This window comes from Homo sapiens, chromosome 7, assembly GCF_000001405.40.
Source record: "Homo sapiens chromosome 7, GRCh38.p14 Primary Assembly".
NCBI classification, from domain to species: Eukaryota; Metazoa; Chordata; class Mammalia; order Primates; family Hominidae; genus Homo; species Homo sapiens.
The window spans coordinates 31,406,493-31,421,698 of record NC_000007.14 but is presented as its reverse complement, the minus strand read 5'-3'; the positions used below and the strand labels follow the sequence as shown (position 1 = coordinate 31,421,698).

Below are 15,206 nucleotides of genomic sequence, written 5' to 3'. Positions count from 1 at the left end.
GTTAATGAGTCACATACAAATATGGGTAGTATTGTGATCATTTATACTTTGATAGGAAAACAGTATGTGTAAGAATATGGCATAGGCTCTTAATTGCAATTCAATCATTAGAAAGCTTTGGAACATCAAGTGATGTAAGTATATTCTAAAATGTAATTAGAATGTAGAAAATATTGTTAGTCTCAATGGTATTTAGGTTCCAGGAGACTGGAACTAAATTTGACATTAATTACAGCCATTTCCAAGTGACATGCTAAGTTTGAAAGCAAAGTTGATTTTCACAAATCAACTTACCTGAAAAAGTTGTTGTGTTCGTCTGAAGCATTTTGAATGTTTGGTTCCTCAAACCATTGGTAACACTATTTTGACATCACAACATAGCATTATGATTAAGCTTACCAGTTTTGGGTGCACATCTGGCTTTGACACTTTCTAGTTATGTGACCTTTGGTAAGTCTCTTAACCTTTGTGCTCCTCATTTCCTCATCTGGAAACTGGTGAAAGCAATAGATCTACCTCCCAGGGTTATTGGGAGGGCAGCTAGTACATGCAAAAGCACTTGGAATAGTGCTGGCAAACAGCACTCAATAAATCACCATAATCATCACCATCATTGTGATTTTCATTTCAAAGGAAGTTACTAAAACATCTCTATATGCAGCTTACCTTCACTATGCACTCTTAGGTACAAGGAGTGGGAATCCAAGCACTGGGAGAAGGGGACGGATAGGAGTAGGGAGGGGTCTCTCTGACCCTGGATTGTGGGCTGGTGTTCAGGGAAAAGCTCCAAACCTAGGGGGGACCTGGCAGGTAGGGCAGGGAAAGGAGGCCAGATCGCCCATCCAGAGGAGGAGCCGTGGCTAAGGGTTATTACACATGGAAGACTGCCACCTGGAAGGGACACAGGCTCCCAAGTGTCATTCCTGACATACTAGATACTGGCTTTACAGGTAGCAAGACCAATGCCAAGCCTGACTAGATGGTGGCCCTGAGGTTTTGCTCTATTTTCTGCCTTGGCTATGAAACTTAGCTAAGCTTTGTCCCAGAGATGGAGGCCCAGTTGTAAACAAAACTGTAAGATGATAGAAAATATCATGGATATAACTGTATGCCCTGGTCCCAAACAGACAGGGTGTGAATCTAGGCTTGCCACTTTCTAATAGGTAGCTTTTTAAATAGTTGTGAAGATTAAATGAGATAATCTGTTGAAAGTCCTTGACCTAATATCTGTCCTATGGAAGTGGTCATAAATGCTGGCTATTATTACCATTATTATTAAGATGGAATGATGATGATGACGATGATGATGATGATGATGATGATGATGATGAGATGACAATCATTATGATGAAAGAGAAGGACCAAAGGAAAGAAAACAGGAATGAGAGTGTTCCTAGTAATGGAAAAGGAGGTAAAGCTTTAATCAATTTTTTTAATCAAGTAAAATGAACCCCCAAAAGAAGTGATTATACTTAAATTGCAATGGGACACAGCTATTGGTTTTGCACAGCCATCTCTTCCAGACACAGGAGCCATATTTCTATATTGGTTTAGGGGGACCATTTCTTTCCACAACTGCTTAAAGACCTGCTTAGCCACAATAGGATGCAAGTCCACAACAGACTGTGCACTCAGGAAGCAGAATTTAAAACATAAGAAGCAAGGATTTAAATAACAGAGCTGACAGCTCAGTTACATTCCCACACCTTTGGCAGTGTGTGCAGATCTTTGACATTTCACCAAAGCTAAATGTTCCATCTCTAGAACCTGACTCGTTCTTTACTATTTTTACTGTGTTGCAGCTTAAAAAAAATTGCCAATTAAGTTAAACTAAACTGTCGCACAATCAGTTTCTATAATTACCAGCAATGGTTTATGATAGGTTCGAGCAAACAGAGGGTTTGATTTTTTTTTTTTTTTTGCCAGAGTTGTAGTTTCTTTTTGTAGAAACAATTATCATAGCAGTGCTTCCCAGCAAAGGGAAAACATAGCCTGAAGCCATTGCATATTTCATTTTCAGTCCAGCAGTTTTAGAGTTCTTGCTTTCCCTATTGACTATTCAATGGGAGGAAAAGACAGCTGAAGATTCTGGGTGTCTCACAAAGCAGGCATCAAGGCCACCAGAAGCTGGACAAAAAGATTGCTGCCCTGTCTGTTCCCAGCTTCTGAACATGCACATTTGTCCACAGGAAGTAAAGGCAGCATCGGGATCTCATGTCAGAACCAAATTAATGCACCCCCTCTCCAGCAACAGATGTCATGATGTGTAAGAATACAAATATAAAATGCATTAGGCATTAAAATACATTTATAAAAAAATACAAATATAAGGTTAGATTTACCAATATTGTCAATAAATGGCAATATGCCTACAATAACTTGTTGGTAGGGATCACAGGAATGTGTCTGGGTTTAAATCCCTGCTTTGTTGCCTACTGGTTGAACAAGTAACTTTACCTTGTCAAGTCTCAGTTTTCTCATTGTGTCAAATAGGATTACCAGAAGCATTTAGCTCTGAACTATTTTGAAGATTAGACAAGCTAACAATGGGTTTACTCATTTATTCAAAAAATATTTATCGAGCCATTACTATGTGTCATACACTGCTCTAGGTGCTGGGGACACCACAATGAACAAAACAATTAAAACAGTCCCTTAACTTATAGGGGCTTAGAGGACAGTTGTTTAGCAACATACTGGGCACATAATAGGGCTGTGATAAATGTTAGCTGTGACTTTTATATTCGTATTAATTTTTTGTTATATGTGGTTTTGGTTTTGTTATTGGCAGCTATTATGTTTTACACTCACAATGCTATGATATTTTATTATTTCCACTTCACACACGGGAAAACTGAAGATGAGAAAGCCTTTCACAAGGTCACATGGCTAGTTGTCAAAGAGTCAAGTTTCAAATCTAAGGTTATCAGACTTGAGTCCATGTTCTACCTAAGCTCAGGTCACAGTATTATTTCCAACGAGTCCAGGAGCCTAGGTCTCTCATCTGGGATCAGGCCATAGATCTCTCATTCTCTTTGCCTCTGGCTTGATCCTTGAATATATGGAAAATGGTATAATCTTAAATCTCCATTATGCACAGTAATGGATAGCTCAGTGTGATGGACATGATCTTTTACTTGGAGAAGAAATAAGAGCCATGGGTAGAAATGAAGAAAAGTTATGATTCACTTGATCATAAAAAATAACATTTTAGCTGGATGTGGTGGCTTACGCCTGTAATCCTAGCACTGTGGGAGGCTGAGGAGGGTGGATCACTTGAGATCAGGAATTTGAGACCAGCCTGGCCAACATGGTGAAACCCCGTCTCTATTAAAAATACAAAAATTAGCCGAGCATGGTGGCACACGCCTGTAATCCTAGCTCCTCGGGTGGCTAAGGTAGGAGAATTGCTTGAACCTGGGAGGTGGAGGTTGCAGTGAACCGAGACCACACCACTGCACTCCAGCCTTGGCAACAGAGTGAGACTCCGTCTCAAAAAAAAATTTTAATAATTAAAATGAGTAGACTGTGGTCTGGGCTGTGTTTTGCACTACCATAATATCTTCAGAAAATGCAAGGATATCTTATCTTCAGGAAATTCAAGGATAAGCTGAAGAAACATTGAATTAGACTGTTTTTCAGGGGATTTAAATACCCATAAGGGAATTTGGTCCAGATTTTCTGCTTCCCAAATCTAGTCAATCTTAAGAATCTCTCAAAGTGCTTGATAAAAGGACAGATTCTCTGGTCCCCCTCCCAGAATCTTAGTGTACCTGGAATATTTAATATTTAGCTCGGAGAGCTGTCTGAAGATTGGATAAGCTAATAATGCATTTGTACATTTATTTAACAAATATTTATTGAGCGGTTACTATGTGCCAGGTCCTGTCCTAGGAGCTGAGGTGACAACAATGAACAAGACAAAACAGTCCTTAATTTAAAGGAGTGTAGAGGAAACTTTTATAGCACAGTGCTGGCCACCTAAGTGTGTGATAAATGTTAGCTATGATCTGAATGCTCCTATTCTCCTATTCTTTTATTATTCAGGCTCCTAAGGCTGTGTTTTTAATGGCCATCCCTGGTCTTCTAACACAGACCATCCTTATGCTAAACTGAAGGGGCAGCTCTAATATATGACCATCTCAGGTCTCAGGAATGGCATTTTGCACAAACGCTCAACAAACATTCCTTGGCTGGTTGATTACTGAATATTCCACTAGTATTTATTCACCTGCATCACTGAGATGTAGAAAAGCCAATAGAATGTGGATTTTCATTACCCATCCGCAATCAACTGAGTCAGAATTTCTAGGTAATAGGTCTCCAGGAATACTTTTAACAGCCTTGCTCCCCCAGGTGGCTGTGATGCCGGGGACAAACTGATGTAGGCTAACCTGCCCTGACTTGGTTAGACCTGAGACTTTCCTGGAATTCAGGCTCAGGGGACTCTCTCCATCCGGGAGAACCTTGCTCTCAACTGGGTTGCCCATCAGGGACACTGGCCTGGAGACAAATTCTTATGCTTATTTTTCTCCCCTTCATTTCTGAAACTGCCATCCACGTGGAGACCAGGGGTAGGGTGGCAGTGGCTCATGCTGGGTTAGGCGCCTGAACTTAATTCACCTTGCTTTTTCTACCATCTTCTCTGCTGTGCTAAGCACCTATTTTAGAAGAATTTCCAAAAAGGTCTCCTAAATGCTCATTTTAAGGCGAGGAGAAAAGCTACAAGAAGTGCACCTTTTTTTTTTCTTGCTGAAATCAAAACCTGCATTTTCTTTTTCCCCCACTGATTAGAATCTCAGCATTCCACCAAGACAATCTCCAAAAAAGGAAAAGCAAATGAGCAGGGCTGTTTCTGAGGATATGAAATACTTTACAATTAAATAAGGTATGGCCAGGCTTGGGGCTGATCACTGGTGATGGGTAGGTTTCTGAGAGGCTGCAAATGAATTCAGCACGGGACAGTGTTCCAAATGGCTCCTACAAGCTTTCCTTTTATTATTTTTATTTGGTTATGTGCTGACTCTCATCCAGAATTGCACTTAATGCCCTAGTCTGAAGTTGTTGAAATGGCCCCCCATGGCACAGTGTGACAGTGAAAGGATATTGCCTTTGGAAGCTGCTAATGGTCCATGAAAAGGAAACAACAGCAAACAGGAAAGCCATGCTCCAAAATAATGTCAGATAAAAATATTCACGTCTTCACTTTCCTGTCCATTTACCAGGAGAAAGGCGTGATCCCAGGGGAGACGAGAGTCTCCAAAACAAGCAAATGTAGAAAAAATGCCAGCATCGAGGTTGAAAATATATCCACATTCACATATATATTTTTCTACAGTTCTTAATTAAAAGACAGAATTTACATTTGGAAACCTAACTGAGCTCCAGACTCTAAATGCAGAAGGGAAAGAGACTGAGAGTTGTACTGGCAAGAATGGTGGTCAGGTGTGGGCAGGGGCACTAATTTCTCTACCAGTCTCCATGGGCACTTATGATGTGCCAGGCCATGTGTTAGAAGCTGAGGGTATGAGTAAGATGGGTCTCTGCCCAGAAGGAGCCCACTCTTGGCAGGGGAGAGACACAATGCACGTATTATGGTAGCACAACAATTCAAAACAAAATGCTGGAGCTGCCCAGGAGCCCAGAAGCATTCCGGATTCAGAGAGACCCTAGCATCAGAGCTTGCACATTGCTAAGAAAAGGTCAAGCCAGGTGTTGGCGGGGAGGTGGGGAATCGTAAGAATGTCCCAGGCAGAGGGAAAGTCAGGTGCAGTGATACAGCATGGGAAAAGGGTTGATGGGCTTGGGGAACCCTGAGAAGGGCAGGGTGGAGGGAACAAGGTCTGCTCATGGGAAGAGGGGCTGGGCAAGGCCCAGGTTGCAGACCCAAGCAGGGGCGGGCAGCAGGGAGACTCAGAGAGGCCTGGTCAGATTCCAGTGACCAATAAACCCTTCACTAACTGACAAGGCCCAAGCATAATCTCCTCCTGGGACTTAGGATGTGTTTGGCTCTCAGTGTCTGGAGTGTCAGTATGAGAAGGCATCATACATTTTGCCTCGTGGCCTTCAGAACCTGGCCCGCATTATGCATGCCTCCCTCCCCTCCCACCTATACTCTGATAGGAAGAAGAGGAAACATTCCAGACAGAAGCAATCTCTTACTGCAAGAGAATAAGAAGTAATAAGAATTTTCATCATTTGAAATGCAGCCATGTGGCAATTTTATCCATCCAGAACAACTGACATACAGTAAATACTTAACATGTAGCAGATTCTGCTGTGTTTTTTGATGTCTTGTTATATTAAATCTCTTCAACCACACTATGAGGTAGGTGTGTCTTTCCTTCTCATGCTGTAAAGTAAGGAAATGGAGTCATAGAGAAGTTACATGTGCAGGCCTCATAGCTAGTACATGCTGGAAGTGCATTCCGCCTCTGGGACCTGGAATCTTTATTCTTAACCATTTCAGAACATGACCTCTGTTCAGTTGGAATAGAGTAGAGGAATGAATTGCAAGAAAGCACAAACCTACTCTGAGCAGCTAACTTACTATTTATGTTAATTAAAGAAATTAATGCATTTAGGTCCCTTCCCTCCTCTCTCCTACCCCCTCTCTGCTTGGTGGACCTTTTAATGATTTATATACATCATTTTGTGTTATTTTGGTAAGGGTTAAGAAGGCCTTGTGGCATCAACTCAGGGAGGCCATGGTTTAACAAAGATCAATGGATAGACAGCTGAAATACCCAGTGTTTGTCTGAGTTCTGCTACGGCTAAATATGTAATTTGGTCAAACCAATTGCTTTTCTTTTCCAGATTCCATTCCCTTACCTGTGAAGTGCGGATGGTTGTGTGGTTGCTGAGGTGCTGTCCAGCTTGGACATCGAGGAATTGTATGAGCACCTTTGATTGCCTTGCATGCAGAAACAACTCTGAACCCAGCAGTGTTACTTAGATTTCACAGAAAAGGGAGGCAGAGAGGAAGATGTTAGTCAGGACAAGACCAGAACAAAACAAGCGGCCCTATGTCTAAGTGTTGCTGACCACACTCCAGAAGCCAGAATTTCTGCAAACTGATCTTCAGCCCCAGTTCCATACCCACAGACATGGACTCCATATCCTCAGCAAAGCACAAGAGGGGAATAATAATAGCTCTGTCACATTTAATCTTCAAAGCAAAACTTTCTCCATTTAGAAAATGAGAAAATTTCAACTCAGGGAGTTTCAGAAACTTTCCCAGGGTATCGCAGCTGAAAAACAGTAGAGCCAGCATTTGAACTCAGGCTGCCGGACTCCTTTACTGTGTGTTCGAATCCACGCAGTGCTGCAAGACTTGACTAACTCACCCTGTACACCCATAACTGTCAGACATCAGAGTCCATTAAGAAGCTGGGAATCAATTAATTAACAATTGATTAGAACTGTTACAATGTATTTAGGATGCATTTCTGTATAGGGCTGAGCATACAGAAATTAGCCAGATGTGGTACTTGGTTTCCAGGAACTATTTACAGTAAAAAAGCAAACACTTATGAAATGCTTATGATGTTTTACATGTATTAATTTTTTAAACTAATTGAACAACTCTGTGAGAGAGACAGTATTATGTCCCAATTTTGGAAGATGAGGAAACTAAGAGGTTAATAACTTGCTCAAAGTCACAAAGCTGGTAATCAAACCCATGCTGGCTGGCTTCAGAGTCATACTCTTCACTGCCACACTGTGCTGCCTACACTTCCTCAACTCAGTGCAAATGTGCAAGTGTTCTGAGCCATGTGACCAGGGACCTATGCTGGCAATCTTCAGGCAATGCCCTGGGACTGTGTTGTGGAGAGAAGCCATGGAACAGCTGTGAACACTGCCGGGCAGAATAACATGGACAGGTAGAAAGCCTGGAATATAAATAATTCTGAGAAGGCAAGAAGGTCAGAGGAGGAAGTGGAGGAGGGTGAACTGGAAGGCAGGGGTATCCAGGGATGGTTTTCTTAGGGAGGAACACCTCTTCCTTTCCAAGACCACAGCCTTACCTCCATTCTCCTCATCTCCCCCCTACCCTATGCTAACCCCACATGGCTTCGTTTCCCCTTCAGCTCCATCCTTGCCAAGGTGACATGCACAGGGCCCCACTGGAGAGTCCAGTTTGTTTTGCATCTGCTCAGGAGAGAGCATCCTTGGGACCTGAGGATTAGTCAAGGGAAGGAGGGAATTGGCCTACTCTAGGCAAAAGCTAACCCTGACTCCGCTCTGGGGTAGACCCAAGCCTAATCACACACCTTCTGGCTCTTACCTCAATGTTCTTTCCTGAATGTTGAAAAGTCAGGGCAGAGAATTAAGGGTTATTTTTAAAAATCACATAAACAATGCAAAATCAGGAAATAGAAAACATTCATCCCTATCCTTCCTTTAGGGATGCAGGAACCCAGGACTCTGGCAGCTCCATGATTGTCTGAAAGCAACACAGCCACACTTCCATCTAAGACACCTAAGCCCCTTCCCCATCACAAGCTTCCTCTCCTGGGTCGTGTTTCTCAGAAATTTACTCTTTTCTAGACAACAATAAGACTAAAGGGATAAACCAAATCAACTAACTTTTGCTGGTGCCTTAGAGTATTTAAAAGGGAAAAGTCTCCAGGAGATACACGTAAGAATCCAATAAGGGAGAATTTAGAACCCAATAAACAGACCTTTGCATGTCCTTCAATAACATCATACCATTTTCTGCTCATTCATTTACAATGACAGCTGGCCGAGGGGAATCATGAGGTGGCCTGCCTTCCCTCCTTCCTTCCTTCCTTCCTTCCTTCCTTTCCCTCCTTCTTCATCTCCCTCAACTGTATCTCTCTGATTGTCCTTTCCTTCTGCTCATCCCTCCTCCTTTCCCCTGATCCCTCACATAAATACTTACTGAGTGCTAATTTTATGCAAGACTTTGGTCTAATAACATAAAATTAACCACATAAATATCCAGCCAGCTTGGGCATTTTGTATGGCAGACCATGTCTAATTGCGCATGAAAGCTGCAACATATTGGTAGGAACCATTTTACAACTTAAAAAAATTAGTGGCAAGGCGCGGTGGCTCACACCTGTCATCCCAACACTTTGGGAGGTTGTGGCAAGTGGATCACCTGAGGTCAGGAGTTTGAGACCAGCCTGGCCAACATGGTGAAACCCATCCCCCCACTCTACTAAAAATGAAAAAATTAGCCAGGCGTGGTGGCACATGCCTGTAATCCCAGCTACTCGGGAGGCTGAGGCAGGAGAATTGCTTGAGCCTGGGAGGTGGAAGTTGCAGTGAGCTGAGATCATGCCATTGCACTCCAGCCTGGGCAACACAGAAAGACTCTGTCCCCCCCCACAAAAAAAAAAGTATGACTGTCCATAATGGATAATCACAAATCATATATTTTCTTTCTCTCTTCAGTTATAGACTAGAGTTGCTATGATTAAAAAATATATACAGGCATACCTCAGACATATTTAGGCTTTGATTCCAGACCACTGCAATAAAGTGAATAATGCAATAAAGTGAGTCACACAATTTTTTTTGTTCCCCAGTGCATATAAAAATTATATTTACACTATACTATAAATGTGAAATAACATTATGTCTAAAAACAATATGCATGCCTTAATTTAAAAACACTTATTGCTAAAAAATGCTAATGATCACTTCAGTCTTCAGCAAGCCAAAATTTTTTTTGCTGGTGGAGGGTCTTACCTCCATGTTGATGGCTACTGACTGATTACTGAAGATTGGGGTGGCTGTGGCAATTCTGAAAAATTTAAGACAACAATTAAGTTTGCTGCATTGATTTATTCTTCTTCCCATGAAAGATTTCTCTGTAGCATGTGATGCTGTTTCATAGCATTTTACCGATAGTAGAACTTTTTCCAAACTTGGATTCAATCCTCTGAAACCCTGCCGCTGCTTTATCAACTAAGTTTACAGAATATTCTAAATTCTTTGTTGTCATTTCAACAATGTTCACAGCATCTTCATCAGGAGTAGATTTTATCTCAAGAAACCACTTTCTCTGCTCATCCATAAGAAGCAACTCCTCATACATTCAATTTTTATCATGAGATTGCACAATTTAGTCACATCTTCAGGCTCTATTTCTAATTCTAATTGTCTTGCTATTTCCACCACATCTGTAATTACTTCCTTCACTGACATCTTGAACCCCTTAAAGTCATCCATGAGGGTTGGAATCAGCTTCTTCCAAAGTCCCATTAATGTTGATCTATTGACTTCCTCCCATAAATCACAAATGTTCTTAATGGTGTCTAGAATGGTGAATCCTTCCCAGAAGGTCTTCAATTTACTTTGTCCAGATCCATCAGAAGAATCACTACCTATGGCAGTGATAGCCTTAAATCTATTTTTTAGATGATGATATTTGAAAGTCAAAACTACTCCTTGACATGGGCTGCATGTTTTTAGGCATGAAAACATTAATCTCCTTGTACATCTCAATCAGAGCTCTTGGGTGACCAAGTACATTGTCAATAAGAAGTAATATTTTGAAAAATATCTTTTTTTCTAACAATATGTCTCAACAGTGGGCTTAAAATACTAAGTAAATCATGTTCTAAACAGATATACTGTCATCCAGGCTTTGTTCCATTTAGAGAACAAGGGCAAAGTAGATTTAGCATAATTCGTAAGGACCCTAGGATTTTTGAAATTATAAATGAGCACTGACTTCAATTTAAAGTCACCCAGCTGCACTAGCTCCTAACAAGAAAATCAGCCTGTGCTTTGAAGCTTTGAAGTCAAGCATTGATTTCTCTTCTCTGGCTATGAAAGTCCTAGATGGCTTCTTCTTCCAATAGGGGGCTATTTTGTCTACATTTAAAATCCGTTGTTTACTGGAGCCATCTTTATCAATTATTTTAGCTAGATCATCTGGATAACTTGCTACAGTTTCTACATCAGCACTTGCTGCTTCACTTTGCACTTTTATGTTGGGGACATGGCTTCTTTCCTTAAACATTAGGCACCAATATTTGCTAGTTCCAAACTTTTCTTCTGCAGCTTCCTCAACTTCTCTCAGCCTTCACAGAATTGAAGAGAGTTAGGGCCTTACTCTGGATTAGGCTTTGGCTTAAAGGAATGTCGTGGCTGGTTTTCATCTTCCATCCAGACCACTCACTTTCTCGCTATAAACAATAAGGCTGTTTTGCTTTCTTATCATATGAATGATCATTGAATAATCTCTGAATCACCTTTGGGTAATTCTTCTCTTTCCTTTAAGAATAGCACAGGCTCACAGTCAAAGAGCTCTATGGCTCAGTCCTGTAGAATCCAAGAGGCCCAACAGCCTTCCTTCATTCTGTCCTATGTTCTCTGTCCCCTTTAGTTCAAACTGATAGCATCTCAGCAAGTATAATCCCATCTCTGTTCCTAGCTTCTGCTGAGATGGCTGTCAGTTCATGATTTGCAGTCATGGTCTCTTTCTCAACTGGTTTTCAGTTACACTCTTAGTGTTATCTTCATAACAAACTTTCTCATTTTTTTTGCAATATGGATAGACTGAGAATTTTCCAAATCTCCAAGTTCTGGTTCCTATTTGTTTAACAATTTATTCTTCCATTCCTCTCTCTCTTTCTGGCATTTTGCTATAAGTAGTAAGAGGGATCCAAATCACACCTCCAGTACTTTGCTTAAAAATGCTTTGAAATCTCTCCAGCTATTCAATTATACTACTCACAAGTTCTACCTGCCACAAAACACTAAAATAAAATTCAGCCAAGTTCTTTGCCGCTATCTAAGAATCCCAGTTTCTCTAGTCCGATAACCTGTTCCTCATTTCTGTCTGAGTCCTCACTGGAATGTCTATATTCCACCATTCTAGTCATAATTATCCTTGTGTTCTCTGAAAAGATGGAAGCTTTGTCTACAGCTGTTCTCTTTTCTTTCTGAGCCTTCATCAGAATTACCTTTAAAGTCCATATTTCTACCAACAGTCCCATCATAGCAATGGCTTTTTCTAGAATGGACCTCAAAACTTGTCCAGCCTATGGCCATCACCTAGTTCCAAAGCTGCTTTCATGTGTTTAGATATTTGTTAACAGTAGCACCCACTTCTCAGTACCAAAATCCGTCTTAGTCTGCTCAGGCTGCCATCACAAAAGACCGTAGTGTGGGTGGCTTAAACAACAGAAATTGTTTCTCTCAGTTCTGGAGGCTGGGAAGTCCCAGATCAATTTGCTGGTCAGTTTGGTTTCTGGCGAAGTCGCTCTTCCTGGCTTGCAGTTGGCCACCTTCTTGCTTTGTCTTCATATGCCTTTCCTCTGTGTTTACGAAGAAAAAAAGAGAGAAATATCTCTCTCTTACTCTTCTTATATAAGTCTTATAAGACTTATAATCCTATCAGATTAGGGTCCCATTCTTATAATCTCATTTAATGCTAATTATCTCCTAAAGATTCTATCTCTAAATATAGTCACATTGGGAATTAAGGGTTCAACATTTTTGACATTACAGATTTGGGGGTCACAATGCAGTCCATCCACTTAGTTTGGCTGTCCTTTGAAGAAAATAACTCTTTAACTGTCTACATTACATGTTGCCTAGAAATAAAAGACTTATTTTCCAGTGTAACTATAACTCAGAAGTTTTCAACCTTGAATATCCTTAAACTTTCTCTTGTTCCCCATACAACAACAATAATAAAATAATAATAATACATTTGGGAGGAAAAAATATTACCCTAAGAGATATCTTTGTTTACTGAGCAGTAATTTCCCAACAGAAATTAATTCCAAGCAAATTTACATTTTACATTTAAAGAAGATATAAATAATTCATATTTTCATATCATCAGCACTGTGCATTTCCTACACTGGGGTGCCTGTAATTTTTTCAGTTTGTCTGTTCTAAATTTTGGTTCCATAGCTCATTATCACATTGTTTGTGCTTCTGTTCCAAGGTGGAAATTTAATAGTCTTCAATAGAATTATGTTCAATTAAAATGTATTCAGTTTTACCATTCAAAACCTTTTTAGTTTCTAATTTAATTGTTGTAGGCTTCATTTTTAGGTACCATTGACATACCTTATTTGCTCACTGCACTCACACAAATACCAAACCTTCTAAGTAAATGAAATCCATGACAACTAAGGGTGTGCCTGAGCTACTTCTCCCTGTGTACAATATGACTCATTCATGCCAGACTCTTGGAAGGAACTGATTCAGCAAAATTTTCTTCTAGTAACTTCAACATTTTGATTTTACTGTCTCCTTAATGGGCTGCACTGTGTAGGAAATTGAGTAGATTTTTTTTCCAACTCCTGTTGCTTTTTTGAAAAGCTCATGTCTATTTATATTACGGTGCTACATTCAGCATCAGTCTGCATATTACATATTCATGACCTATATCTAGATAGATTTATAAGCAAGAGCCCAGGGAATACCAAGCTGTAAACTGCGTAAACCTCACTGGTTTCTTCACTAAACTTCGCAAATTGTAGAGTGTGGGTTTTGTCAGGGAAGTCATCTAAAAGTTGCAAGAAGTATTCTATCTACTGTTTACAGTAATTTCACTTGAAAGGATATGTGACATGTTTCAAGTAATAAAAAAAGTCAAACAGGTGACATAAAAGGTAAGATGTAAAATTTTACATCAAATCTCACCTACTACACCTAAATAATAATGAAAATGTAAGTGCTATTTATAGTCATCTATGTTTCAATTGATAATTCAGGGAAGCAAACATATTACTTTCATGGCTCTTTAGAGGCTGGTAAGGCCCTGAGACCTCCTCTGAGGTCTCCAAGAGAACAACATATAAGACAGGGAAGAATGCATATTCAGAATTTCTCTATTATAGCAAAGACCTCTTTGATCATCTCCATCCCCCTTGGATTTTGTCCACCTCTGTTGATGGGTAAAAACGAATGAGAAAAAGAGATGTCGGAGGATGAGTGGTGGGAGAATTCTAGGGTAACAGCAAAAAGTCTATGGAAGAATGTGATGATGGCTGTGGCCTTGGGATTGGGGATCAGGGAATGCGCCTCACCTATTTACTCAATGCACCAAAACCCACAGAACTGGCCTTCTCACCATACCCACAAACCTCATTATTAATTCAGTGATTTCCTTGACTCCTTGCTGCTGTTGCTTGAGCAAGCATGAGTTTCTCTCCATGGGGTCCCTGGATCTTTGGTTCTTGCTAAGTTGTCATTTTATTTGAAAGGATCAAGAGCCCACAATGTATGTGAATATAAATATAATCCTTTGAAAATATGGGGGGATGGGGTTCAAGCACTAATAATTCCATTTTCTTAATCCAAAAAGGAAAACGACTGTAATTAGGCTGAGATGTCTGCCAAGTTTCAGCCTGGAGGGACTATTTTGGCCAAGATATAAACCCCTGAGAATAGAGGCTTATAATGGACGCATCAAATCACACTTAACTATGGCAGAACAAGTAGCTGTTTTGTAATGCAATCACTCAATGATTGTGCCTTATGTTAGCATTTTAATTAAAATAAAGAATACTTCCCTTTTTATTGTCTATCACCCTCTTCTCAGATATTACCAGATAAGACCATTAGGTTAGCAAAAAAAAACTACAAAATACAAAAACAGAAATGAAATATCAACTTTATCATACCCCTTTCCACAAGATACATCCACAAAGACAGGTTGGGAGGCAAAAAACACATAAGATGATCCTCAAGAAAGACCCAGGTTTGGATATATTCATCCCTGAGTATATTCAGTTTGAACCTCAAATTCCACTAGGGACATAGGGAATTTCATTTTTAGGGAACTTGAGTGTAGTTTAATTAATTATAGACACAAAGCACTAACTGGAACCTTAATGACTTGAGAGAAAGAATTCACCTCCCAATGAGCCTAACCTCCTCTCAGGGAAAATTTACACACAGGGAAAATCAAAATGATTATTAAATGAAATTACTCAATGCAGTCAGAAACAGCAGCCATGCCATGGATTTTATATTCTAGCCCATAGAGACTTCCAATGCAAACTGGCACCCAACTTGAGCTCCAAGTCGAGCTTAGATGAAAGCTCATAACAGCAGGAAAGCTTACCCTGAAAAGTAACCATATCTAGGTATCCAGGGGTAATTGACATGTGTTATGAGCAGGAAGCTATTCAAAATATTTATTATCCAGGACCCTGCATGAACCTACCAAGACAGTCATGAACAACTCTAAAGGGATAGTGGAA

At 40.2% G+C, this 15,206-nt stretch overlaps 1 long non-coding RNA gene across 1 annotated transcript; it reads left to right on the top strand.

Annotated features, from left to right (window-relative positions):
• The first annotated feature begins 395 nt into the window (after positions 1-395).
• On the top strand, positions 396-7,541 carry LOC105375224 (uncharacterized). The gene is made up of 4 exons (NR_187886.1): positions 396-450; positions 4,795-4,888; positions 6,124-6,328; positions 6,817-7,541. It is a non-coding gene; the product is annotated as an uncharacterized LOC105375224 (long non-coding RNA).
• Positions 7,542-15,206: the final 7,665 nt, after the last annotated feature.